This window comes from Homo sapiens, chromosome 12 (assembly GCF_000001405.40).
Source record: "Homo sapiens chromosome 12, GRCh38.p14 Primary Assembly".
In the NCBI taxonomy this organism is placed as follows: domain Eukaryota; kingdom Metazoa; phylum Chordata; class Mammalia; order Primates; family Hominidae; genus Homo; species Homo sapiens.
The window spans coordinates 12,706,752-12,732,431 of NC_000012.12; the positions used below are offsets into that span (position 1 = coordinate 12,706,752).

Below are 25,680 nucleotides of genomic sequence, written 5' to 3' on the forward strand. Positions count from 1 at the left end.
CTGTATCTTCAAAAAACACACTATCAACTCTCTACCCTTCTTTTCATGTACACTGCTACCACCCTGGTCTGAGGCCCATGACCTCTTATCTGGATTAGTGTATAGTCTACTATAATACATGGTCTCCCTACTTCTCTCTTGCCTCTTTGAAATACTTCTTACTCAGCAAAGTGACAAAAGTTACCCGAAGTCAGGTAAAAAAACTCTATGCTCAAGGATGATGCACTTCAATTGGCATAAAATCCAGCCTTTACCATGGCTTATAAAGTTTACATGATTGGGGTCTCTACTTCCTTCTTCTCTGACTTCATCTCCTACTCCCCAGCCCCCACTCACCATGTTTCCAGCTTACTAGTTCCCTTATTGTCCCTCAACTATCCCAGACACATTCCTACCTCAGAGCCTCTGGATTTGCTATTTCCTGTGCCTGCAACACAAAATTACATGGTCCATGCTCTCATTCCATTCAGGATTCTACTCAAATATCACTTTATTGAAAAGTCCTTCCTTGTTCATACAGCATCTGCCTTCATTACCCTCCGTACTCTTAATTAGTTGATTTGTCGTGTTAGCACTTACAGCAACATGACATATTATGCTTATTTATTTGTCCATTGTCTGTCTTCCACACTTGAGTGTAAGTTCTGTTTCATGACAGCAGGGACTTTGGCTATCTTTGTTCTCTGCTGTGTCCTCAGAGAGTCTGGCATCTGGTGAGGGTTCATTAAAAATTTAATGAATGAAGAAATGAACAAATATTAATGTGGATAATTATTCAGAGAGTTGGTCAAGAACAGCAAGTGGGTAGGTTCCAGTTTTGTTTTACATGGAAGTTTGTATAAACTGAAGACTAAGATCAGAATCAGGGAAAATGTTCTCCTTTATGTCTTCTCAATGTAAAAAATAGAATGTAGTTGAATGTGGTGGATTGGTAATAAATATGTTTATTGTTCCAAATTCCATATTTTATTTATTTATTTTTTTAGGGACAGGGTCTCGCTCTGTCGCCCAGGCTGGAGTGCAGTGGTGCCATCATAGCTCACTGCGGGGTCAAACTCCTGGCCTCAAGCGATCTTCCCACCTTGGCCTCTCGAAGTGCTGGCATTACAGGCATGAGTCACTGCGCCGAGCCCAAATTCTGTATTTTAGTAGTAGAAGTTGTCCACTTATGTTTTAACCATGGAAATTAAATTATGTGTGTGATCATGAATCCAAATTTTGCTATTTATTTCCTATTCTTTTTTTTTTTTTTTTTTTTTTTTTTTTGAGATACGGCCTAGCTCTGTCGCCCAGGCTGGAGTGCAGTGGCGTGATCACAGCTCACTACAGCCTCAACCTCCCTGGCTCAAGCGATACTCCCACCTCAGCCTCCTGAGTAGCTGAGACTCCAAGCATGTGCCACCATGCCCAGCTAATTTTTAAATTTTTTGTAGAGATGGGGTCTCGCTATTTGCCCAGGCTGGTCTCAAACTTCTGGGCTCAAACCATCCTCCCACCTCGGCCTATTTCCTATCCTTATGGTCCTGGCAATGCTGGTAAACTTGCATTAGTTCATTACATTTTACTTGGAAATGAAAATTTTCATCTAAGTAAAATGCCTGATGCATTTTTTTTCTTTAAATTCTGACCCCACTAGATTAGTTTTAAACCCTTCTTGAATCTAATTTTTTCAAAGATGCCATTTTTCCAGGCATTTGAATCCCATTTTCCCCAGAGCCTTTGTTTTGTGAATAGTGCATTCTAAGTAAATTAAACCAATGAAGCCTTAGTGATATAATTGCAAACCTATCCAGTCACTGCATCTTCTACAATGGATTCTGGACTCAGCTTAAGTAGGACTAATAAGTACACTAGTCCTAGTGCCTTCTCTGCTCTCTTTTGTGGCTTTGGAACACTCAGTTCTCTATTTCAGAGCTTCATCTGCAAGAGTGGATAATAGCATTTGCCTCACAATTGTGGTCTTATGAGGATCAAATGTGATGACACCAGGGAACCTGCTTTAAAGTATTTAAAGTGGCTGGGCACGGTGGCTCACGCCTGTAATCCCAGCACTTTGGGAAGCCAAGGCTGGTGGATCACGAGGTTAGGAGTTCAAGACCAGCCTGGCCAAGATGGTGAAACCCCATCTCTACTAAGAATACAAAAATTAGCTGGGCGTGGTGGCACACACCTGTAATCCCAGCTACTTGGGAGACTGAGGCAGAGAACTGCTTGAACCCAGGAGAGGGAGAAGTTGCAGTGAGCCAAGATCACGCCACTGCACTCCAGACTGGGTGACAGAGCAAGACTCCGTCTAAAAAAAAAAAAAAAAATTAAAGTATTACGTTAATTAGGGATGACTTGGGTTCAACCAACAGAAACTCATAACAAGCTAGCTTGGAGCAAAGGGGGGGAAATTACTTTATAAACACAGTGCTATAGAACGTAAATGTAGGGAGTAGTACCTCATGAACTAATAGAACGTAAATGTAGGGAGTAGCACCTCATGAGCTAATAGAACGTAAATATAGGGAGTAGTACCTCATGAGCTTCAGGATCCGGAAACTGAAGAGTCTTTGGTTGCTCGGGGCTGTCTGTCTTCCTAAAACTATGTGGTCTCTCTTCTCTGCCCCCTTTGCACATTTTTTTCTTTCTTCTGACACTCTGCAGACAGACATTATCTGCATCTTCATCACACATGGGCTGAAGATAGTGTCCTTTTGTTTTTGAGACAGGGTCTCACTCTGTTGCCCAAGCTGGAGTGCAGTGGCATGAACAGGGCTCACTGCAGCTTCGATCTCCTGGGCTCAAGGGATCCTCCACCTCCACCTGTCGTGTAGCTGGGATCACAGGCACATGCCACCACACCTGGTTAACTTTTTAAATTTTTTGTAGAGACGGATCTTACTTTGTTGCCCAGGCTGGTCTTGAACTCTAGGATCAAGCAGTCCTCCCACCTCAACCTCCCAAAGTGTTGGGATTATGGGCATGAGCCACCGTACCCCACTGAAGACAGTGTTCTTAAAAGGGTACTTTCAATCTCAAGTCTACATTACCTCATTAGTCTCTGCCTTACAATTTACTAATTGAAGTTTCTCAGACTTGATTCCAAATTTTCGGGAGAAAAAATTTGGCTAGCCAAGTTTAGGTCAAACAACCACCTCCTCTCCCCTTGTCTGATCAACTTCGGTAAGGGAATGGGAACAGGGTTTCATAATCTGCTGTCCCCCCAGCAGAGGTTATGGGAACAGAGTCTGAGAAGGGAGTACAGGACAACAGAGAAACAATGAGTGTTGCACACCTCAAGTGTGATGTGAAAGAATTAAGAATACCACATGCAGCCAGGTGCGGTGGCTCACACCTGTAATCCCAGCAACTGGGGAGGCCGAGGTGGGTGGATCACCTGAGGTCAGGAGTTCGAGACCAGCCTGGCTAACATGGTGAAACCTCGTTTCTACTAAAAATACAAAAAATTAGCTGGGCCTGGTGGCGCGCACCTCTAATCCCAGCTACTTGGGAGGCTGAGGCAGGAGAATCGTTTGAACCTGGGAGGTGGAGGTTGCAGTGAGCCAAGATCGTGCCATTACACTCCAGCTTGGGCAACAAGAATGGAGCTCCATCTCCAAAAAAAAAAAAAAAATACCACATGCATCCTTATTCCTGTACCCGTGTAACTGTTAATCTACTCAGGATCCAACCTGGCCATATGATTAATGGCACATTTGTAAATATGGATAGGTGTCAGAGAGCCCCACCAATCATAACATCCCTTCACATTTTGTGTCAGATGCTTGTCTCCAGTATTGTCTCTTTTGCCCTCTTTTTATTTTCGTTACAGACAGAGTCTCCCTCTGTTGCCCAGGCTGGAGTGCAGTGGTACACTATAACATTGAACTCCTGGGCTCAAATGGTCCTTCTGTCTCAGCCCCCCAAGTAGCTGGGACTACAAGTGCACAACACTGTGCCCAGCTGTTTTTTAAAAAATTTTTTTGTAGAGACAGGGTCTTGCTATGTAGGCCAGGCTGGTCTTGAATTCCTGGCCTCAAGTAATCCTCCTGACTCAACCTACCAAAGTGAGGGGATTACAAACATGAGCCACTGTGCCTGGCCTTCTGTAGCCCTCTTAAGGGACATACCTTTTCATTCTTTCTTTTCCCTGGGGATTAAGTTAATTTCAATGCTCATACTGACCATTGAGTGATAAACCAAATTCTTCACCTTCCCTATTCCCTATCTCCCAAACTGTTCCATATGCATTAGTTAGGAGTGACTGTAAAATGCTATAAAAAGTGGGCCGGTGTGGTAGCTCATGCCTGTAATCCCAGCACTTTGGGAGGCTGAGGCAGGCAGATCAGGATATTGAGACCATCCTGGCCAACATGGTGAAACCTCGTCTCTACTGAAAATACAAACATTAGCTGGGTGTGGTGGCACGTGCCTGCAATCCCAGCTACTCGGGAGGCTGAGGCAGGAGAATTACTTGAACCTGGGAGGTGGAGGTTGCAGTGAGCTGAGATCACGCCATTGCACTCCAGCCTGGCGACAGAATGAGACTCCATCAAAAAAAAAAAAAAAAAAGACCCCAAAATGAAAACTTATTTCTTCTCCCAAATCAGGTCAGGGACCCAAGTTGAAGGTGGCTCTGTCATCTTCAACATGTGGCTTCCAAGGTTGCTCTAGTATTCACCTTTCCAGCCCATGAGAAAGGGGAAAGAGAGTGGCGGATTCTGAGGGGGTCACATGACAGGTTCTATGCACTAGGCCTGGAAGACACATACCACCTTTGCTTACATTCTATTGGAAAATACTTCATCATAAAGCCACACCTAATTGCAAAGGAGACAGGGGAATTTCATGTTGCTGGGCAGTTGTATGCTCAGTTATAATTCTGCTACTGGGAAAGAAGGCAACAATGGATTTTGATGGACTGGATCCATCAGTCGCTTGAGAGACTGAGGCAGGAGGATAACTTGAGCCCAAGAGTTCAAGGTTATAGTCTCTCCTACATTCTCCTTTTCTGTTACCTCTCTTAGTTAATGGCATTATTCTCTCAAATACCCAAGCTTGAGTCCTTAAATTCGTCCTCCCTTTCTCCATCTCTCTCAATCCTCTTATATGTTCCAGCTACCTAAGTAACCACCCTGCATTTGTTCCTTGCTTTCCATTTCCTCTATAGCATGACTTAAATCCATTGTATCTGTTGATTGAATAACTCATCATCCTCCAAAATTACCTCCGTGTCAGTCTCTCCAGGCTCATCACACCCATCCTTTACTCTGCCGTCAGACACTACTTCCAAACACAAAGATCTGCTTGTCCAAGACAGCCTGGGCCCATTAACAGGCACCTCCCCACTCACAGTCAAGGCTGGAAGCACCATATAAAAAGCATCTGCAGCTACACCTTTGCGGCTCAGGAGATTATGGCAGACTGCCTCCTTTCTCTGCCAAGCCCTGTCCTCCTGGGCTCAGGGTTCTCTGTCTCACACTTGAACTCTGCCCATCTCCCCACATCCCACTGGATGAACACCACAGTGGGACTGTCTGCCCAGCTTTTCATTTAGCCCTGTCCCTAGACACTGTCTGTCATATCACCCTCAGCCCCATCTCACAAATCCAAACTCCAGAGCTCCAACCCAGGCCCAGGGCCCAGGCTTGCTTTTGTTCAGGAGACAAGTTTGGACGCTGATCATTCTCTTCACTTAAAGCTCCATCAGTTCGCAGTACTTACGGAGCAACAGATTTTTTAGCATGCCATCCATGGCCAACCACTGTCTGATCCCATCCCCACTTACCACCCCTACCAATTCATCCTCATAATCATCTTGACATTTTCTTATTCTTCAAGATCTGACTCATATATCACTTCTTCCATGAGGCCTTCCTCTTTCTCCTTGCTTTGTACTTCATAGCATCATGTTTTTCTATGTATTGCTTTCTACCTCTAGTTTATTTATTTGAGACAATGTCTTGCTCTATCACCCAGGCTGGAGTGCAATGGCATGATCATAGCTCACTGCAGCCTCGACCTGGGCTCAAGTGATCCTCCCACCTCTGCTTTCTGAGTTGCTGGGGCTACAGGTGCAGGCCACCAGGCCTGGTTCCAACCTCTAGTTTTTGTGCACATGGTATATACTCCCCACAGGCAAGGACTCTGACAAATATTTCTTCACTTCCCACATTGCTGAGAATAATGCCTTGGACAATACCTTACACATGGTATTGATCACTGCTTAAAACCTCCTAATGCCCCAATGGCTTTCCATATCGCCAGGCCAATAATAAAAGCCCTACCTATGCCTACCTGGTCCTATCTGATCTGATGCGCTTTTTTTTTTTTTTTTTTTTTTTAAGACAGAGTCTCACTCTGTCTCTCCCGGGCTGGAGTGCAGTGGCACGATCTTGGCTCACTATAACCTCCGCCTCCCAGGTTCAAGCAATTCTCCTGCCTCAGCCTTCCGACTAGCTGGGATCACAGGCGTGTGCCACCATGTCCAGCTAATTTTTGTATTATTAGTAGAGACAGGGTTTCACCATGTTGGCCAGGCTGGTCTTGAACTCCTGACCTCAAGTGATCCACCCACCTTGGCCTTCCAAAGTGCTAGGATTATAGGCGTGAGCACCGTGCCCAGCCCTGATGCTCCTGTTACCACTCCCCACTTGCTCCGCCCTATCCACCATGGGCCCCCCTGCTGTTCCTTGAACACATTAGGCAAGATCCCACCTCAGAGACACTTCATTTGCTCTTTCCCCAGATAGCTGTATGGCTGCTCTCTCATGTCTTCAGGGCTTCTCTCAAAGGCCACCTTTTTTGTGTGTGTGAGATGGAGTCTCACTCTGTCTTCCAGGCTGGTGTGCAGTGGCAAGATCTTGGCTCACTGCAACCTCCGCCTCCTGTGTTCAAGTCATTATCCTGCCTCAGCCTCCTGAGTAGCTGGGATTACAGGCCTGCACTACCATGCCCAGCTAATGTTTGTATTTGTAGTAGAGATGAGTTTCATCATGTTGGCCAGGCTGGTCTTGAACTCCTGACATCAAGTGATCCACCTGCCTCTGCCTCCCAAAGTGCTGGGATTACAGGTGTGAGCCACTGCACCTGGCCTCAAAGGCCACTTTCTCCATGAGGCCTTCCCTGACCACTTATTCACATTGTGATCCTTGAAACACTTCCTTTTCCCTCTCCGCTTATTGTTTCTCCATAGCATTTTTCACCTCCTTACATAGTATGTACTTCTTTCATGTGCTGTGTTCATTTTCTGTCTCCTCTCCCCTTTTTGGAATGTCAGCATCATTCTAGTTTAAATCTGTTTGTTTACTTCTGTGTTCCCAGAGCCTAAGGATAATGTCTGGCATAGAGGAGGCACTCAATAAATATTTGTTGAAAGAAAGAAGGAATAAGCAAATTAATAGAAGGTGCTCCGTAAATATTTGTGAAATTGAATTAAAAGTGTCAGAAGGAGATGACTGTGAAATTCCCAAAGTCTAAAAATATGTGAGCTTAGAAGAATGGTGGAGTTGAGTGCTGCCTCATTATAAACATCCTCGAGGAAGGACTGAAACTGTGTGCTTGCGGTGGGAGGGGCAGCTGGGCAAGGAACCGTGAACCTTCGCAGAAACATTTGGGGCTGCAGAACTTGGGTGAGAGCGCTGCATCTGGGAGCTGGCGACGCTGGCGGCTTGCTCATTCACCCCATCTGAACACTTGTCTATGACACAGGTGTTTTCTCTTAAGTTATTTTGGTCTTTGCCTCTCTCCTCAGGTTGTGAAGATTACAGAAATCTGGGATGGCTTATGGGACGCTTCTCAGCCCTAAGTAGGAAAACAGCAGTGAAAATGGCAACCAAAACATCACGCAGGACTGGGGGTTTTGGGGAAACAGCTCACTTTAGAGCAGTGCAGTGTAGAGCTTTCCGTCTTTTACCAGGGTCCACCTTTAACACTGTTTATCTGAAAATTTTCCCCCTGGCTTACTCGCTTGCAGCTGCCCACTTTGCAGAAGGATGGCGCTCTGATCTCTACGCTCCCTGTTCCTTCAGGGACTCCATAGTATTTTTTTTCACGCGTCGTCGCTACTACAGCAGACGCCTGCGTTCTCATTATTTGCTGTACAGATCTCCGGTGCCTTGACTGTAAACAAAACACTTTAGATCATTGTGAGGTCGATGTAAGCACAGCCTTTCTGCTGGCAGCCAGACTTCTTAAGGTGGTGTGACTGTGACTTGCTTACTTTTCGAGATCAACAACAACAAAGCGACAAAATGGTGCTCCTACATATTAGTTGAAAGATTCAGCATGTGAAGGGGATCGAAGTGTTTATTTTCCACTTCCATATAAGACATGAATTCCATGAGTAAAATCAAACTTCTGTGGCAAGGTGAACTACTCTAGAATGTCTCCATTTACATACATGTGGTAGTTTGGGTGTTTATGCATATGGATAGATGCACATATATAGAGTTCCTGTGTTGTCTAGCAATTGTTTTAAAATTTGGACAATTATCTAATTTCTAGGGTAAGGTATAAATTATGGTAGGGAGGCCTACCCTAATTTTCCTGTTCCTTTTCCCCCAGTCTGCAGTCCAATAAATTGACAGCCTTAAAAGTAGAAAAACTAAAGAGGATGAGACCTCTTGCTTGATCCTAGGTGAATTCTTTTCTGTCAGTTAGGTAGGAAGTCCTGACTTGAAAACTAGTTCTGGGCACTGCCCCCTTTACTGTTCTCTGGGTATCAACCCCTGTCCTTCAATTTTAGTTGAACTAGTGGATGGTGATACCACAGGCTCAAGACAGCTGCATTTAAATATCAGTGACCACAGGCCACATCAAGGAAACATCTGCAGGCAACCCAGGGCCTGGGAAGGAGCCATTTTCAGTCACTTGTAAGACAGCAGGACCTGCAGACTACAGCACAATCAAACTCAGACAAAACCCTGAACCAGTGAGAACCATTAGGAAGGAAAGGAACAGAAAATGAACCAACCTGAGTGTTAGGAGACTTGCATCTAGTCCTGACTCCGGTACCAACCGAATGCATGTCCCTGGACAGGAAACCTCTCTGAGTCTCGATTTCCTCCGTGGTAAAAAGGAGAGGGTTAAACCACAGGGTCCCGAGGGTCCCTTCCAGCTGTCACATTCTGGAGCGTATGAGATGAGGTAGGCACACAAAGTGGACAAGATGTGGCTAAGAAAACAAGCTACACATCAAGCTCATCTGTAGCATAGGTGCTTAAGAAAACTTTGCTGCTGTGTAATATTAGAACGGAAGGTTGGTTTCCAGTAAAATGCATTAACTTTGGCTCAAACCAAGATGATGGGTACCGGGCATGGGGGTGGGGAGGCAGTTGAAGATCCACTGAGCTTTGTCTCAGGGCAGCCCTGCTCATCGTCCTACTTTACCTTCCACCACGGTGCTCAAGCCCACACTGAGAGAGAAATTTCCAGCTGCAAAAGGGAGAAGAGAAACGCTGGAATACTAGTATCGGACGTTAGGACATGGTTGTGGTGTTTTAAAAATCATTTCATCATCTGGAGTTTGACCCCGAGGGGAGTATTTTCACCCTTCAGCCCTCTGAAAGCATTCACTAGCATCTGAATATTGTTCTGAGTTTGTTGGAGCAGTGAAATCTGGTGAGAGAGAAGGGTGGAGGAAGGAAGGAGCTGTTGTATTTGGCGGCTGGACTCAGGTAGAGGAAACTGCTACAATCCCGGGAAAGAACAGAAAAGTAGAAAGGGACGAGTTCCCACACGCAGCCAATGTCCATGGCCTTAACTGTGCTTGGGAAGGAAGATCCTGGGCCAGGGGTGTACCCTCGTTTTTCAAAACTAAACGTGTCTGAGACAGCTACAAAGTTTATTAAGGGACTTGAGAGACTAGAGTTTTTTGTTTTTTTTTTTTAATCTTGAGTTCCTTTCTTATTTTCATTGAGGGAGAGCTTGAGTTCATGATAAGTGCCGCGTCTACTCCTGGCTAATTTCTAAAAGAAAGACGTTCGCTTTGGCTTCTTCCCTAGGCCCCCAGCCTCCCCAGGGATGGCAGAAACTTCTGGGTTAAGGCTGAGCGAACCATTGCCCACTGCCTCCACCAGCCCCCAGCAAAGGCACGCCGGCGGGGGGGCGCCCAGCCCCCCCAGCAAACGCTCCGCGGCCTCCCCCGCAGACCACGAGGTGGGGGCCGCTGGGGAGGGCCGAGCTGGGGGCAGCTCGCCACCCCGGCTCCTAGCGAGCTGCCGGCGACCTTCGCGGTCCTCTGGTCCAGGTCCCGGCTTCCCGGGCGAGGAGCGGGAGGGAGGTCGGGGCTTAGGCGCCGCGGCGAACCCGCCAACGCAGCGCCGGGCCCCGAACCTCAGGCCCCGCCCCAGGTTCCCGGCCGTTTGGCTAGTTTGTTTGTCTTAATTTTAATTTCTCCGAGGCCAGCCAGAGCAGGTTTGTTGGCAGCAGTACCCCTCCAGCAGTCACGCGACCAGCCAATCTCCCGGCGGCGCTCGGGGAGGCGGCGCGCTCGGGAACGAGGGGAGGTGGCGGAACCGCGCCGGGGCCACCTTAAGGCCGCGCTCGCCAGCCTCGGCGGGGCGGCTCCCGCCGCCGCAACCAATGGATCTCCTCCTCTGTTTAAATAGACTCGCCGTGTCAATCATTTTCTTCTTCGTCAGCCTCCCTTCCACCGCCATATTGGGCCACTAAAAAAAGGGGGCTCGTCTTTTCGGGGTGTTTTTCTCCCCCTCCCCTGTCCCCGCTTGCTCACGGCTCTGCGACTCCGACGCCGGCAAGGTTTGGAGAGCGGCTGGGTTCGCGGGACCCGCGGGCTTGCACCCGCCCAGACTCGGACGGGCTTTGCCACCCTCTCCGCTTGCCTGGTCCCCTCTCCTCTCCGCCCTCCCGCTCGCCAGTCCATTTGATCAGCGGAGACTCGGCGGCCGGGCCGGGGCTTCCCCGCAGCCCCTGCGCGCTCCTAGAGCTCGGGCCGTGGCTCGTCGGGGTCTGTGTCTTTTGGCTCCGAGGGCAGTCGCTGGGCTTCCGAGAGGGGTTCGGGCTGCGTAGGGGCGCTTTGTTTTGTTCGGTTTTGTTTTTTTGAGAGTGCGAGAGAGGCGGTCGTGCAGACCCGGGAGAAAGATGTCAAACGTGCGAGTGTCTAACGGGAGCCCTAGCCTGGAGCGGATGGACGCCAGGCAGGCGGAGCACCCCAAGCCCTCGGCCTGCAGGAACCTCTTCGGCCCGGTGGACCACGAAGAGTTAACCCGGGACTTGGAGAAGCACTGCAGAGACATGGAAGAGGCGAGCCAGCGCAAGTGGAATTTCGATTTTCAGAATCACAAACCCCTAGAGGGCAAGTACGAGTGGCAAGAGGTGGAGAAGGGCAGCTTGCCCGAGTTCTACTACAGACCCCCGCGGCCCCCCAAAGGTGCCTGCAAGGTGCCGGCGCAGGAGAGCCAGGATGTCAGCGGGAGCCGCCCGGCGGCGCCTTTAATTGGGGCTCCGGCTAACTCTGAGGACACGCATTTGGTGGACCCAAAGACTGATCCGTCGGACAGCCAGACGGGGTTAGCGGAGCAATGCGCAGGAATAAGGAAGCGACCTGCAACCGACGGTAATGACCCTTTCCCAACCATAGAATGTGTTTGGGGCCCCGCTTTGCCTGCTGGAGGGTGTTAACCTTAGCTTGCTTTTCGGCGTATTCTGATTTAGCTTTGGGAGAGCTAACTTTATTGGTCTTAGGTGTTCAGTGCTACCTGGCCCACTGCTTGTCTGTTTGTGACTTTTAAGTCAGAAACTGGAGATGGTAAGATCCGATAATTTCCCTAACTTAATACATCGCGGTCCCTCTCACTAGCAACTCCTAGGTATGTGACAAAGTTGGGATGTTTATCAACGGTCCGCCTCCTGGCTAGGGAAAGAGCTCTGGGGCGGAGAATGCACTTTCTGTTTTTTGAAAACAACCTCATTTTGTGCCCTTAAAAGCCACTGGGGATGACGGATCCAGGATTGTGGGTGGAGGTAGTGGGTTTTTCATCCCCTGACTATGGGGCCAACTTCTGCCAGCCATTGTTTTTTCTAATAAAGATTGTGTGTTCTTTTTAAAAATTTCCCCTGCGCTTAGATTCTTCTACTCAAAACAAAAGAGCCAACAGAACAGAAGAAAATGTTTCAGACGGTTCCCCAAATGCCGGTTCTGTGGAGCAGACGCCCAAGAAGCCTGGCCTCAGAAGACGTCAAACGTAAACAGCTCGGTGGGTTGATCACTAAAGGAGCACGCACTGGAACCCGGGGCCTTCAGACCTCACGATACCTGATCTTACTGGTTGCTGGCAAATTAAAAGCTTATGGGGTTTTGTTTTGTTTATACTTCGTGAGGTCAAAAAAGTAGCAATGGGGAAGGCTGGGGATACGGTAATTCCTCAGAGTTTCTATGCCCAGAGATACTTTCTCTTCAAACTGTTGACCAGAGCAGCTACTTGTAACCCAGGCCCCATCGGGTAGGAAGGTCGTTTCCCTGTGAGTCCCACTAAAACGTGTTGGGAGCAATAGGTTCTTTGCCCATCCGAACAAGAACTAGGGTACTCCCTCAGTCCGAATTAATGAGAATTAATTTCCTAGAGGTTCAGCTTGAGTCGGTAACAGATTTTGAGCCATACATGGAAAAATGGCAAATACATGATTAAGTTTCAATTTTGAGGGGGAATGTTTGGTAGAAATTGCTCATCTTTGGTTATGCAAGGGATTAGAGATGTGAATAGGATGGTATGTTGTGTTCTTTGACATTTTAATAAACTGTCACTTTCCCTGTTGTCTCCTAAGTTTGGAGAGAGAAGGAACCAGTATTTGCAAAAACCAAATGGAAAGATAAAAAAGTTACTAAAGTTTCTACAGAATTTCTGGTAACACTGAAGTTGCAAAGCAGAAGTTAAATTAACTCTTGTCAGTAAGCAATCCAGGAACACGTCAGCCAGTGTATGCTAATTGTGCCGTAACAGGGTGATTTGGATATTTGTAGGGGAAATGGGTAGTAAATATCAAGACTGGTGACCGTAGGTCAGCCCAGCACAAAGGAAGTGGAGATTTTTCCATGCACAAGAATCTGATCACTGTAAATAGCTAATTTGAATAATTCAGTCCCCAGATAACCAACATGGGTTGGTTATTCATAATAAACTACATATTTTAATAGTTTATTAGCTTCCTTTAGACCAAGACTGTGACCTCTTTATTTTCTAAAGCACACACGTAGTTTAGCATATGAGGCGATAAAATATTGATGTTAACTTTTTAAATCCCCAGTTATAAAAATTTTAAAATAACAGGGATTAAGGTGAGATTCAGGTTTGTTGTGTCTTTAAATTGTATATGTGACTTCACATATCTTTTTCAGCGCTTATACAAAACGGCACTATAGAACCTCCATTTTACAGCACCATATGAAGTGGGAAAATTAGGTGAAAATTTTCCTGAAGCAACCTTAACATGCGCAGCCCTTGTTGGTTTGTGACTTGTGGCCTAGCTCATCAGATGAGCCACGAGAATCAGACCTGGATTTTGATCTGGCCCTGTTCTGACATGCAATGAGGCATTTGTAGGATTTAGTAATATTGCTAGTTCAAAGAATACTAGAAATATTAGTAAGAACCTATTCAAAAGTATTCATGAGTATTTTCTGCATATGAATCAGGAATTAGAATATTTTGAAAATGATGTTAATAAAATTTTCCTCTGGAAGGCCTTTATAATTTTTATTCCCAATCATTTTTCAAATTTAGAAAGTTTAATCTGTCACAGGAGAAAAAAAATTAAAAATTTTCAAAAATTTAGAAAATTTTTACCCGTAAGTATTACAGTTTCCTAATTATCCTATTTATTTCCCACTTGCCTTTGACCTAGATTATTTAGAGTAGGGTTTCTCAGCCTCTGCACTAATGACATTTTGGGCCGAATAATTCTGTTGTAGGAGGCTGTCCTGTGTGTTTTAGATTGTTTGGAATTATCCCTGGCCTCTCACACTAGATGCCAGCAGTATCCTCCTCCCCCAGTGTGACAACCTAAAATGTCTCCAGACATTGCCAAATGTTCCCTGTGGGGCGGGGGCAACATTGCCTACTGTTAAGAACTACTGCTCTAGACCAAAGAACACAGCACAGAGGAAAGGAAAAAAAAATCCAGTTAAGAGAATGTTAGGTGGAGATGACTATAGTCATCAAACTTTTTTCCCCATCAAGTATTTCCAAGCTAACATAGTGACAAAATAATTCCTGTACTCTACTGGTAACGTTAATCTAGTGCTCTTCCTTTAATTCTTCCGTTTTGTTTTCTTTTGCAGAATTAAGAATATGTTTCCTTGTTTATCAGATACATCACTGCTTGATGAAGCAAGGAAGATATACATGAAAATTTTAAAAATACATATCGCTGACTTCATGGAATGGACATCCTGTATAAGCACTGAAAAACAACAACACAATAACACTAAAATTTTAGGCACTCTTAAATGATCTGCCTCTAAAAGCGTTGGATGTAGCATTATGCAATTAGGTTTTTCCTTATTTGCTTCATTGTACTACCTGTGTATATAGTTTTTACCTTTTATGTAGCACATAAACTTTGGGGAAGGGAGGGCAGGGTGGGGCTGAGGAACTGACGTGGAGCGGGGTATGAAGAGCTTGCTTTGATTTACAGCAAGTAGATAAATATTTGACTTGCATGAAGAGAAGCAATTTTGGGGAAGGGTTTGAATTGTTTTCTTTAAAGATGTAATGTCCCTTTCAGAGACAGCTGATACTTCATTTAAAAAAATCACAAAAATTTGAACACTGGCTAAAGATAATTGCTATTTATTTTTACAAGAAGTTTATTCTCATTTGGGAGATCTGGTGATCTCCCAAGCTATCTAAAGTTTGTTAGATAGCTGCATGTGGCTTTTTTAAAAAAGCAACAGAAACCTATCCTCACTGCCCTCCCCAGTCTCTCTTAAAGTTGGAATTTACCAGTTAATTACTCAGCAGAATGGTGATCACTCCAGGTAGTTTGGGGCAAAAATCCGAGGTGCTTGGGAGTTTTGAATGTTAAGAATTGACCATCTGCTTTTATTAAATTTGTTGACAAAATTTTCTCATTTTCTTTTCACTTCGGGCTGTGTAAACACAGTCAAAATAATTCTAAATCCCTCGATATTTTTAAAGATCTGTAAGTAACTTCACATTAAAAAATGAAATATTTTTTAATTTAAAGCTTACTCTGTCCATTTATCCACAGGAAAGTGTTATTTTTCAAGGAAGGTTCATGTAGAGAAAAGCACACTTGTAGGATAAGTGAAATGGATACTACATCTTTAAACAGTATTTCATTGCCTGTGTATGGAAAAACCATTTGAAGTGTACCTGTGTACATAACTCTGTAAAAACACTGAAAAATTATACTAACTTATTTATGTTAAAAGATTTTTTTTAATCTAGACAATATACAAGCCAAAGTGGCATGTTTTGTGCATTTGTAAATGCTGTGTTGGGTAGAATAGGTTTTCCCCTCTTTTGTTAAATAATATGGCTATGCTTAAAAGGTTGCATACTGAGCCAAGTATAATTTTTTGTAATGTGTGAAAAAGATGCCAATTATTGTTACACATTAAGTAATCAATAAAGAAAACTTCCATAGCTATTCATTGAGTCAAATTGTAATGTGCTTTACCAAACAAGGTATTTGACCTGGCATTCTAGTCATATTTACACAAATGTAAATGTGAAGTGGCAAATACCTAGGTAATTCAGGCCCACAACTCAGATGATGTTTTATGTAGTCCGAATGTAGTTAGCAGTTACTGTTTTCCACTTAGCTCTGTGTGGGAGGACAAAACTTTAGAAGGTGAAAATGGAAAAGCTACATTTTCATATGAATAAGGTTGTCAAAAGTCTGCATTAGTAAAAATATTTATGTCTTCTAGGATATGAATGTGTCAAAACCAAAGAATCCTTACATAAGTGTACACTGACACATTTGCAGGATTGAAAATGAAAGTAACATGGTGACTTCTCTAAATTCTGTATTTACACATGAGAAGTGTGAGGAATTAAAGCAATTGTTTGGACCATCTAATGTATAAATCTTGTTTAAAATATTCAAACATATGGGCCCTTAAGAAATTGGTGTGCACTCTACGTAGCTATTTTTGAAATTTAACTGGTCATACAAAAATTCTTTCAATTTCTATATTTAGAAACGGGGTATTTCCTTGTTATAATCTACACAACCAAAAACTGGCTAATGTAAGTAACCAAATCTGAGGATTTTGAGTCTCCATAGCCATACAGCAGATATACAGTTTTTACCTAAGGAAAAAAGTATAAGACAAGACATTTTAAAGTCAGATTACTAAAATGATTCCTGTAATTCCACATTCTCAAGAAAAAATGTGTTTAAGGTGTAATAGTAAATTCTTATAGGACTTATTCTAGTAAGTGGGTAAATCGTAAAAATCTAAATTTGGGTTAAATTTTTTCGCTCAAATACCTACATTTCCTTTATCGTACCCCAAAAGGAGCTCTCAAAGAGTAGTTTGAACAGTTTTTGACCCGAAGATTTTTTTTTTTTTTTTTTTTTTTTGAGCAGGTTGGACTCTTCGGCTTCCTGGAAGGGAAAAATAGGTCCTTTAGTGGCTGGGCTACATCTTTCAAGTAGGTATTATTTTAATGAAAGACTAGAGGTGTTTTGTGATTTTGTTTGAAACTCGCATCCAAGAGTGTTTTTCGAAAACAGACTGAAGGAGCAAGAAAAACAATTCGAAATAGGAAGGAGAGGAGGGTCAGAAAATAATGAAATTAAAGTTCCTCTGAGTAAAAAAAGATAATTCAGAAAGTGTCTCTAACAGAATAAAAAATATCGCCTGGATTGCTGCAGGCACCCCAGTCTCCTTTCCTAAAGAGGTCTCTTTAAACAGAATTTTGAGAGATTGCGTTTTAGTTATGCGGGCCAGGGAGAAGTGGATGCTCGCCGCGCCAGGCACGTCCACAGGAACGCAGCCCCGAGTCACCGTGTCCTTCGTCCTTTACCCGCCTGTGTCAAGCCTCCCAAAATGACCCGCAGTTCAGCTCGTCCTTCGCCGTGAACGTCCCTTTGCGGGGTTGCGGCCGCCGTCGCCCGCCACCCCTTGCCCCACTACCCAAGCCACTGCGCCGTCGTCTCCCCAAACTGCCCCGCAGTTCCGCGCCCGCCCGCCGCGGCAGTTGCGGGGTCGGGCTGGCTGGTGCCTCGGGACGAGAAGGCCATCAAGTGTTGCTCCCTCATCTGTAACGTGCAGCCCCCCGCACTGTCGCCGTCGTCGCGCGCAGTTCCCGCGCCCGGGCGGCCGCGCCTCCGCCGCGCAGCCGGGCTGGGCGGTTTCTCAGAAACTTTCCTCCCTCCTCCTCTCCTCTGCGCTGAGAAAGCAGCGAAAGCTCCCACTCCTCTCCGCAAACGGACTCTCCACCTGAGTAACCGGCCGCCTCCCCGGCCGTGGGGATATCGGAGCTAAGGGGAGAGCCTTCCCGAGTTCGCCGACCCTCCGGCGCTGCAGCCCGCTCCCACCCCTACCCTGGGCTCCAATGATCCGCAGCCCCGCGCATTTCGAAAGCCCGCCCGGCTCGCCGGCGCCTGGGGAGGGCCACGGCGGCGCGCAGCCCGGGCCCCGCACCACGGCCGCCCGCGTGGGTCCCCTCTGCCCTCACCCCCGCTCGGCAACGTGCCCCCATCGCAACCCCGGCCGCCCGGCGCGGGGGCCTGGGACGGGGAAGAACTGGGGAAATGTGGGTTTGGGGGCGTGTTTGGGGGACTCCGGGAGCGTGGGCTTCACAGGCGAGGAGCGGGGCGAGAGGCCTCTCAGGCCGGGGTGCGCCCACCGCCCCGGCCTCAGGGAGCGACTTTCCCGGAGGCCGGGGGACGCTGCCTTCGCCATTTCATCTTCATCATCACAGCGCCCACACTTGCTCTTCTCTCAAGCTCTTTGCACAGAAAAAGTGATTCTAAATCTCCTCTAGGATCTCCTGTCTGGTGTTCAGAGTATGAATTTCTTTTTAAAACTTGCTGTGTCTTTCACCTGGGCCACACCCTACGCCCACCCACCCCCTCTCAGCCAAAAGGGAGGTAAAAAATCCTGCGGGCCCAGCTGGGGGTGGGGAAGGGGCCCACAGTCCCGCTGGAAAACCTCAGCGGCCACCTCCCGGATCCGGGCTGGCCTGGGGACTGGGGTGGGATGGGGTGGGGTCCGCCTCAGGCCGACCCCGCAGAACCGAAAGTGCCGAGTTGACACGTAAGGCCCAGCCCCTCTGCGGCCGCCCGCGCGCCCGGCCTGTCACGCGTGGGGACACTGAGCAGCAGGCATCGGAGCGAGCAGTACAAAAAGAAATCAAGGCGTTGGGCGCGAAACCTCGACGCGCCTCTAAAGGAACGTTGAGAAAAGGCAGGGAGCAGGGCGCGCGGCCGGGGGATTGCATCATTGCGGCTCCCCCTCCAGAAAACGGGCCCCGAACCGCGGCGACCATCATGGCGCTCGCGCCGGGCTGCGCTCCCCGCGCGCCTGCCCCGCGCTCCGGCCGCGGCCCCGGAGCCTCGGACGCGCATTTCACAAACATTCTCGCCCTCTCCCGAGCGCCCGCCCCCACCCCCTCCTTCTTTCTGTGTGTGTGTGCGTACGTGTGTGCGTGTGTGCGCGCGCGTATTTGTGTGTAGGGAGAACTTGCAGATGATTTTTTTTTTCCCTCCCGTGCTGCTGGTTGTAAACTTGATTGGCATTGGCTGCGCCCACTGACCCCGACGCTGAGTCCGCTGAAGATTTAAGGTGGATCCGAGAAGCTGCAGCTTCAGGCGGAGTCTCGCGCTCTAGTCGGTTTTGGGAAGAGAAAAAAAAAAAAAAAAGCCCCGAACCGGGCGCCCGCCGCGTTTGCCGAATCTCCCGCGGCCCCAGCCCCCGCGCCCGCCCGGGGCCCCTCCCCGCCTCGCGCGCCGCGCGCGGCCTCCGCCCACCTCCCACTTCTTCCCCATTGGCCGGCGCGTGCAGTTTGAATTTTTTTTTTTTTTTGATGCTTGTTTTCTTGTAAAAAATACAGTCCCCCAGATCGTGTGACGAAACCTGCTTCGGCGGCCCGAGGTGGGGGTTTTGAGTCGGTTAGTGGAGGCAGTGGGAGCAGGATGGGCGGAGCTTCTGTTCCAAAAATTTCCCCTAAGTGCGGTTGACAGTGTGCAGGCAGGCGGGGGTGCGCGGGGCGGTCAGCGATCTGCAGCTTCGCGGGGACAGAGATGTAACCCAACTCGTTCACGGATGTTCCGCGCGCCGTGTCACCGGCTGCGGGCCAGGGGTACTCGGAAGGCGCGGGCAGGAGCCTGGCGAGGATGCACCTTCCCCTGCCTTGGAAAGGTAGAACTGGGGAGTGCGGGAGGGTGGAGGTGGCCCGGAAAAGAACACCTCTTCGCAACCAAAAAAAAAAAAAAAAAAAAAAAAGAGGAAATAGAGGAAAAATGTGTTATTTCAACCGCCACTCAGAACCCATCATAATTCAGCCAGTCGGTGTCATTTTTATTGAATTAAATTTTAAAAAAGTTTTCTTTGATTTCCAGAGCGTTTTTGCGGGAGGAATATGTTAAAACAAACTCAAGATACGAAATGAGACTTTTGAAGTGCCTTTGATTTCTGGGTACGGAAATTCTTTTGATAAAGCGTGTGTACGTTAAGATTTAGGATGACTTTTTTTTTCTTTTTTGTAATACAGGTCTAATGGAAATGACATTCTTTATGAATTAGAACCCAATTATGTTTTAAAGTTTATAATAAGTCAAATGATTCTCTCAGTCCCTATGTCCGTATTAGTGAAATTCTATCTCCATATTAGCGAAATTTGCATAGATACACACCTTTTTCTTTTTGTCTTTTAGTCTTGCTGCAGTGTATCGGACGAGTTTAACCAGATATCCAGCACTAGCCTTCTAACAGTTTCTAACTCAGTGGTGACATTTTTTAGTTCTTAACTCCCCCAATCCTTCTTAGCCTAACAAACCTCTTAATTAAGGTCCATGAAAGACCATAAACCAACCTGATTATGCCTTTAGCAAGGCTGTGTTCACTTAATCTCTAATCCCATATCATAAAAGTCCGCTAGTCACTCCTGACCTCCAGGAACCCACCTAACCAGGGTGGACACTATAAGAAAACATGTGTTTTAATGGAATGAGAACTTTTTTGAGTTGAAGACACGCTAGCCTCAGGAAGCAGTGAGCTCACCATCCCTGGAGTGTGAGTCAAGCACTAGTCTTGGATGACCCCTTGATAGGAACGTTGTAGACAAGATTCAAATATCAAATAGTATTTGGACTAGTGATTTCAAAGTCTATTCCAGACCCCTGTGAAACTGTATTTCCAACCTTGGCATTTCTGGATTTCCACTAAATTAAGCCACTTTCCTTGCTCATTAGCATCTTGTAGAGCTGTGTGGCTATTTGAGCGCTTGAATGTGGCTAGTCCAAATTGAGATGTGCTATATGAGATAAACACCACGTTTCCAAGAATTAGTATGAAGAGAAAATGTTAAATATTTCATTAATAATTTTAATATTGATTACCTATTGAAATAATATTTTGTCATATTGGGCTAAATAAAATATATTATTAAAATGAATTTCATCTATTCCATTTTACTTTTTTAGTGGAGTTACTAGACAATTTACAGATGTGTCTCAAATTATATTTCTATTGGACATTACTGTTCAAGACTATCACCTGTGGTAACTTGAGGCCCCATCTTTAAAAGTGGTGACTATTAATACTGAGGAGTAGGTGGTAACTTCTAGCTGCCATCCTAACTTCTCAAATTAAAGTGAGACCCAAACTCAGCCTCTGAAAGCTTTATTATTTATTTATTTATTTATTCTTCTTCTTATTTTTTTTAAAAGATAGAGTCTCCCTGTCATCCAGGCTGGAGTGCAGTGGTGTGGTCATGTCTCACTGCAACCTCCAACTCCTGGGCTCATGCAATCCTCCCAACTCAGCCTCCAGAATCACTGCAATTACATGTGTGCTCTGAAACCTTTTTTTTTTTTTTTTTTAACTTTGTAGAGAGTCTTGCTGCGTTGCCCAGGCTGGTCTTGAACTTCTGGCCTCAAATGATTCTCCTGCCTTGGCCTCCCAAAGTGCTGAGATGACAGGCATGAGCCACCATACCTAGCATCTCTGAAACCTTTAAATAGAATTCTGCCAACATCTAACACCTACTGTTTAATCTTTAATTAATTAATTAATTAATTTTTCTTTTAAAGACAGGTCTCACTCTGTCACACAGGCTGGAGTGCAGTGGGCATGAGCATGGCTCACTGCAGCCTCAAGCTCCTGGGCTCAGGAGATCCTCTACTTCAGCCTCCCATGTAGCTGGACTACAGATGTGTGCCACCACATCCAGCAGTTTTTTTTTTACTTTTGTAGAGATGGGGTCTTGCTATGTTGACCAGGCTGGTATTGAATGCCTGACTTCAAGGAATCCTCACACCTTGGCCTCCCAAAGTGGTGGGATTACAGGTGTGAGCCACTGAGCCCAGCCTGTTTAATACTTAATGTAGGGTTCAAGCCCAGACTATGGGAATATAGTATAGATATGTCTGATGAACTCAGACTTGGTCACCACAGCTTTTCACATTATGGCAATAGGAAGACTGGAGGCCGGACACATTGGCTTACACCTGTAATCCGCACACTTTGGGAGGCTGAGGCGGGCAGATCGCTTGAACTCAGGAGTTCTGGACCAGCCTGGGCAACATGGTGAAACCCCGTTTCTACAAAAAACAAAAAAAAATTTAACCAGGTGTGGTGGTGCTGCCTGTAGTCCCAGCTACTCAGGAAGCTGAGGTGGGAGGATTGCTTGAGCCTGGAAGGCTGAGGTTGCAGTGAGCCGAGATCATGCCACTGCATGCTGGCCTGGGCAACAGTGAGACCCTGTCTCAAAAAAAAAAAAAAAAAAAAAAAAAAGAGAGAGAAAGAAAAGAAAGAAAGAGAAAGATTGGAAACTCCAATATGTTAGTTGTGACTCTGCCAAAAAAAACTATTTAGACCCCACACAAAACCTGCACAGGCAGAGCCTCACTGCGACTCTTCAGGAGATAGGAAGAAAGTGGGGAGACAGAGCAGTATGCTCATTCTAAGATTGGGTCTCTAGCAGAAGCCTGCACAATGAAAAAGTATACCATATTCTTGGATGGGAACACCCAACATGACAAAGATGGCAGTCCTCCCTAATTCATCTGCACCTCTTTACACTAAATTCTGATAATAGGTTCTGATCATCCTGTTTCGTTCCTTTGTTGTAGCAGTCTGTCCACTCAGGACCATAATATAATTACTGTAAATTTGGAATATGTTTGAATTGCTGGTGGGCCGAGTCCTCCACATCTCGATGGGTCCCTTTACTCCTTTTTTTCCCCCAGAATGTTCCTGTTTTCTTTTGCTTGCCATTTTCCCCATGTGGATTTAAAATGAATTTGTCTAGTTTTAAATATAATTCTGTCGGCATTAAAAAAAAAAATAAAGTGGGATTCTTATCTCACACATCAGGATAAATTCCTGAAGAATTAAAGAGGATGAAGTAGAAAGAAATGAAACCATAGACATGCAAGGAGAAACCTCAAAGGATTTTTAAAAAAATCTCAGAGTTGGGGAAAGACTTTCTGAGTACGACAATAAACATAGAATTCATAAGATGTAATTTTTTTTTCTTTTTGGTAGAGACAGGATCTCTCTACGTTGCCTAGGCTGGTCTTGAACGCCTGGCCTCAAGTGATACTCCTGCCTTGGTCTCCAAAAGTGTTGAGATTACAGTTGTGAGCCACTGTGCTCAGCTGGGAGGAGCTCTTGCGGCCAGGATTTTAAGACCAGCTTGGACAACGTAGCAAGACCTGTTTCTAAAAAATAAAAATAAATAGTTAAGCTATTCTGGAGGCTGAGGCAAGGGGATTGCTCTATCCCAGGAGTTCAGGGCCGCAGCTCAGGCTACAGTGAGCTATGATTTTACTACTGCACTCCAGCCTGGCAGCTCTAAAAAAATAAAATAATAATAATAATAATATAAAAATAATTTAAAAAGCAATGGTTTAAATGGTAATTTGTATCTTACTTGTATTTAACCACAATAAAAAAGAATATACAACTACTGGGACATTTTTTTTTGAGACCAGGTCTCACTCTGTTACCTAGGCTGGAGTGCAATGACTCATTGCAGCCTCGACCTCCTGGGCTCAAGTGATCCCCCTGCCTTAGCCTCCCAAGTAGCTAGGGCTGTAGGTGCACACCACCATGCCCAGCTAACTTTGTGTGTGTGTGTGTGTGTGTGTGTGTGTGTGTGTGTGTGTGTGTGTGTGTGAGAGAGAGAGAGAGAGAGACAGACAGGTTCTTGCTATGTTGTCCAGGCTGGTATTGAACTCCTAGTCTCAAGTGATCTTCCTGCCTTAGCCTCCCAAAGTGCTGAAATTACAGGCATGAGCCATCATGCCTGGCTCACTGGAAAAATTTAAAGTTCATCCATGGTATGTCTAAAAGAATCTCACACAGTGTACTGGGCCATATTATTTGTGAGATGCTGTAGTGGTTCAATTTCAGGCTCTGGAATCCTACTGCCTGGGTTTGAGTCCAGTTACTGAACTGCCATTTGCAAGTTACTTCACCTTTTAAAGATTTTATTTCGGCCAGGCATGGTGGCTCACACCTGTAATGCCAGCACTTTGGGAGGCCAGGGCGGGCAGATCACTTGAGGTCAGGAATTGGAGACCAGTCTGGACAACATGGTGAAACCCCATCTCTACTAAAAATACAAAAATTAGCCGGGCGTGGTGGCAGGCACCTGTAATCCCAGCTACTGGAGAGGCTGAGGCAGGAGAATCGCTTGAACCTGGGAGGCAGAGGTTGCAGTGAGCTGAGATCATGCCATTGTGCTCCAGCCTGGGGGACGAGATTGAGACTTCCTCTAAAAAAAAAAAAAAAAAAGAAAGAAAGAAAAAAGTTTTTTTTTTTTTTGTCTATATAATGAGGATGCTTATAACTCTCATAGGGTATTAAAAGTATTCGATGGAATAATGTATGTGTTGTATTTAGCCCAATACATGGTATATAATAATGACCATTACATATTTGTAAACAATCAAATTGGCCAGGCACAGTGGCTCACGCCTGTAATCCCAGCACTTTGGGAGGCCGAGGCAGGCGGATCACAAGGTCAGGAGATCGAGACCATCTTGGCTAACACGGTGAAACCCCGTCTCTACTAAAAATAAAAAAAATTAGCCGGGCGTGGTGGCGGGCGCCTGTAGTCCCAGCTACTCGGGAGGCTGAGGCAGGAGAATGGCGTGAACCCGGGAGGCGGAGCTTGCAGTGGGCCGAGATCGCACCACTGCACTCCAGCCTGGGCGACAGAGCAAGACGCCATCTCAAAAAAACAAACAAACAAACAAACAAAAAATCAAATTAATGGGGATATCCAGTTTTTATTTTGTCTTCTCCCAGTAACCACAGCCAGTACTATGTTAACCTTGTCAATATGTCTTATTATTTTTAATTACTGCTGATACTACCATTAAGAAAAACAAATATTTTAAATTGGCATTTAATAAAGAGAATTAGATATGCAAAAACAGTTAAAATGGTAAATTTTATGTATTTTTACCACAATAAAATCTTTTTAAGGCACTTGTTGAATTTAGTGTCACTTCCAATGATTTCTGAAAGGACTTGGTATAGATTTATTTGTGGTAATAAATCAGTAGCACATACACCCACATACATATGCAATGACAAATTGGGAAAAATGTTTGCAACCCACATATCACAGGGTTAATTTCCCCAATAAATAAAGAGTTTCTACAAATCCATGAAGAAAACACAAACCAGTAGAAAAATAAGCAAAGGATATGAACACAGTTATCGGAAAAGAAAATATGAAAGGCTTTTAATAAATGAAAACATGCTCAATTGTAGACTATTGGGATATAAACCATATACAGAATATATAAATATAGGGAAATTGAGGCACTCAGATACAAAGACGGCCATTATTCTTTCTTGACAGTTTAATCCTTGCTTCCCTCCTTTCTACCTAAGGGTTAGTGATATTTTTCCAGCTTCATTGGTGACCAAAGAAGCAAAGAGTTTGCATGCGTGGAAGCCACGACCGTCTTTCAGGTTCAGTGTAAAATCCCTCCCATCCAAATAATGTTATCTTTAGCTTAGTGGCATCTCCTTACTTTGTACATAGAAATCCCCCGAATCAGCCTCTTAAGGCCAGCACAACTATAAGTATGTAAGAGGCTGATGCTCTCAACACATCCCCATCCATTCCTGCTTTTAAGTTTAATGCCTGTACGTTGCTGGTGATACCAGTCTCTCCAAAACCATCACCTTATTCTGGCTTTTCGTTCAAGCTCTCTATTCTCTTTTAAAAGCCTCATGAAGAGTTGATTACATGATAAACATAAATTGTCTAATTAGTAGAGAGAAACTATGCTATGCAATAAATGGTGTTAGGTTACAGCTAACCGTTTGGAGAAAAATATTAAATCTCCCTTACATACACACACATTTTATATACTGCGCATTTAAAATGTATGTACTTTTCAGCTGGGCGCCGTGATTGTTAATTACTGCTGTTATTACCGTTAAGAAAAATAAATATTTTAAATTGGCATTTAATAAAGAGATTCAAATATGCAAAAACAGTTAAAATG

At 45.4% G+C, this 25,680-nt stretch overlaps 3 protein-coding genes and 1 long non-coding RNA gene across 6 annotated transcripts in view, besides 17 other annotated features; 2 read left to right on the plus strand and 2 right to left on the minus strand.

The window, feature by feature from the left end:
* Window positions 1–10,495, minus strand: part of GPR19 (G protein-coupled receptor 19) — a 56,357-nt gene extending 45,862 nt beyond the window's left edge. For 2 of the 3 annotated variants that reach the window (XM_011520624.3, XM_047428741.1), the window contains exon 1: window positions 2,521–5,750. The gene's annotated coding sequence lies outside the window, so the exon portion shown is untranslated. Of the gene's footprint in view, window positions 1–2,520; window positions 5,751–8,959 lie in introns of those variants that run through there. The other variant, XM_011520623.4, reaches the window with a different exon arrangement.
* Window positions 7,445–7,514: an enhancer, noted in NCBI's record as "active region_6021". NCBI's record gives its function as "activates an Ori minimal core promoter by ATAC-STARR-seq in GM12878 lymphoblastoid cells {active_cell/tissue: GM12878}" and the evidence as "EXISTENCE:reporter gene assay evidence [ECO:0000049][PMID:35858748]".
* Window positions 7,695–7,874: an enhancer, noted in NCBI's record as "active region_6022". NCBI's record gives its function as "activates an Ori minimal core promoter by ATAC-STARR-seq in GM12878 lymphoblastoid cells {active_cell/tissue: GM12878}" and the evidence as "EXISTENCE:reporter gene assay evidence [ECO:0000049][PMID:35858748]".
* Window positions 7,945–8,074: an enhancer, noted in NCBI's record as "active region_6023". NCBI's record gives its function as "activates an Ori minimal core promoter by ATAC-STARR-seq in GM12878 lymphoblastoid cells {active_cell/tissue: GM12878}" and the evidence as "EXISTENCE:reporter gene assay evidence [ECO:0000049][PMID:35858748]".
* Window positions 8,195–8,244: an enhancer, noted in NCBI's record as "active region_6024". NCBI's record gives its function as "activates an Ori minimal core promoter by ATAC-STARR-seq in GM12878 lymphoblastoid cells {active_cell/tissue: GM12878}" and the evidence as "EXISTENCE:reporter gene assay evidence [ECO:0000049][PMID:35858748]".
* Window positions 8,255–8,334: an enhancer, noted in NCBI's record as "active region_6025". NCBI's record gives its function as "activates an Ori minimal core promoter by ATAC-STARR-seq in GM12878 lymphoblastoid cells {active_cell/tissue: GM12878}" and the evidence as "EXISTENCE:reporter gene assay evidence [ECO:0000049][PMID:35858748]".
* Window positions 10,001–10,570: a silencer, noted in NCBI's record as "silent region_4261". NCBI's record gives its function as "represses an Ori minimal core promoter by ATAC-STARR-seq in GM12878 lymphoblastoid cells {active_cell/tissue: GM12878}" and the evidence as "EXISTENCE:reporter gene assay evidence [ECO:0000049][PMID:35858748]".
* Window positions 10,591–10,640: an enhancer, noted in NCBI's record as "active region_6026". NCBI's record gives its function as "activates an Ori minimal core promoter by ATAC-STARR-seq in GM12878 lymphoblastoid cells {active_cell/tissue: GM12878}" and the evidence as "EXISTENCE:reporter gene assay evidence [ECO:0000049][PMID:35858748]".
* Window positions 10,617–15,618, plus strand: CDKN1B (cyclin dependent kinase inhibitor 1B). The gene is made up of 3 exons (NM_004064.5): window positions 10,617–11,563; window positions 12,074–12,203; window positions 14,285–15,618. The coding sequence occupies exons 1-2, from the start codon at window positions 11,089–11,091 to the stop codon at window positions 12,193–12,195; spliced, it is 597 nt and encodes a 198-aa protein (NP_004055.1). The 5' UTR covers window positions 10,617–11,088; the 3' UTR covers window positions 12,196–12,203; window positions 14,285–15,618.
* Window positions 10,721–10,820: an enhancer, noted in NCBI's record as "active region_6027". NCBI's record gives its function as "activates an Ori minimal core promoter by ATAC-STARR-seq in GM12878 lymphoblastoid cells {active_cell/tissue: GM12878}" and the evidence as "EXISTENCE:reporter gene assay evidence [ECO:0000049][PMID:35858748]".
* Window positions 10,995–11,183: a silencer, noted in NCBI's record as "fragment chr12:12870680-12870868 (GRCh37/hg19 assembly coordinates)". NCBI's record gives its function as "represses an EF-1alpha promoter that drives an FKBP-Casp9 reporter gene in an ReSE screen in HepG2 liver carcinoma cells {active_cell/tissue: HepG2}" and the evidence as "EXISTENCE:reporter gene assay evidence [ECO:0000049][PMID:32094911]".
* Window positions 12,671–12,750: an enhancer, noted in NCBI's record as "active region_6028". NCBI's record gives its function as "activates an Ori minimal core promoter by ATAC-STARR-seq in GM12878 lymphoblastoid cells {active_cell/tissue: GM12878}" and the evidence as "EXISTENCE:reporter gene assay evidence [ECO:0000049][PMID:35858748]".
* Window positions 12,821–12,870: an enhancer, noted in NCBI's record as "active region_6029". NCBI's record gives its function as "activates an Ori minimal core promoter by ATAC-STARR-seq in GM12878 lymphoblastoid cells {active_cell/tissue: GM12878}" and the evidence as "EXISTENCE:reporter gene assay evidence [ECO:0000049][PMID:35858748]".
* Window positions 16,153–18,372, minus strand: LOC105369663 (uncharacterized). Its single transcript, XR_931366.4, has 2 exons — window positions 16,472–18,372; window positions 16,153–16,286 (listed from the first exon to the last, which is right to left on the minus strand). It is a non-coding gene; the product is annotated as an uncharacterized LOC105369663 (long non-coding RNA).
* Window positions 17,007–17,136: a silencer, noted in NCBI's record as "silent region_4262". NCBI's record gives its function as "represses an Ori minimal core promoter by ATAC-STARR-seq in GM12878 lymphoblastoid cells {active_cell/tissue: GM12878}" and the evidence as "EXISTENCE:reporter gene assay evidence [ECO:0000049][PMID:35858748]".
* Window positions 17,207–17,336: a silencer, noted in NCBI's record as "silent region_4263". NCBI's record gives its function as "represses an Ori minimal core promoter by ATAC-STARR-seq in GM12878 lymphoblastoid cells {active_cell/tissue: GM12878}" and the evidence as "EXISTENCE:reporter gene assay evidence [ECO:0000049][PMID:35858748]".
* Window positions 17,547–17,816: a silencer, noted in NCBI's record as "silent region_4264". NCBI's record gives its function as "represses an Ori minimal core promoter by ATAC-STARR-seq in GM12878 lymphoblastoid cells {active_cell/tissue: GM12878}" and the evidence as "EXISTENCE:reporter gene assay evidence [ECO:0000049][PMID:35858748]".
* Window positions 18,077–18,156: a silencer, noted in NCBI's record as "silent region_4265". NCBI's record gives its function as "represses an Ori minimal core promoter by ATAC-STARR-seq in GM12878 lymphoblastoid cells {active_cell/tissue: GM12878}" and the evidence as "EXISTENCE:reporter gene assay evidence [ECO:0000049][PMID:35858748]".
* Window positions 18,497–18,746: a silencer, noted in NCBI's record as "silent region_4266". NCBI's record gives its function as "represses an Ori minimal core promoter by ATAC-STARR-seq in GM12878 lymphoblastoid cells {active_cell/tissue: GM12878}" and the evidence as "EXISTENCE:reporter gene assay evidence [ECO:0000049][PMID:35858748]".
* Window positions 19,127–19,396: an enhancer, noted in NCBI's record as "active region_6030". NCBI's record gives its function as "activates an Ori minimal core promoter by ATAC-STARR-seq in GM12878 lymphoblastoid cells {active_cell/tissue: GM12878}" and the evidence as "EXISTENCE:reporter gene assay evidence [ECO:0000049][PMID:35858748]".
* Window positions 19,166–25,680, plus strand: part of APOLD1 (apolipoprotein L domain containing 1) — a 65,550-nt gene continuing 59,035 nt past the window's right edge. Inside the window, exon 1 of the mRNA NM_001130415.2 lies at window positions 19,166–19,345. Coding sequence (NP_001123887.1) covers window positions 19,250–19,345 — 96 coding nt within the window. The 5' untranslated portion in view covers window positions 19,166–19,249. The remainder of the gene's footprint in view (window positions 19,346–25,680) is intronic.

Coding starts and splice junctions, on each gene's coding strand:
- CDKN1B (NM_004064.5), top strand. CDS start 11,089: ATGTCAAACGTGCGAGTGTCTAACGGGAGCCCTAGCCTGGAGCGGATG. Junction 11,564..12,073: donor GAAGCGACCTGCAACCGACG/GTAATGACCCTT, acceptor CCCTGCGCTTAG/ATTCTTCTACTCAAAACAAA.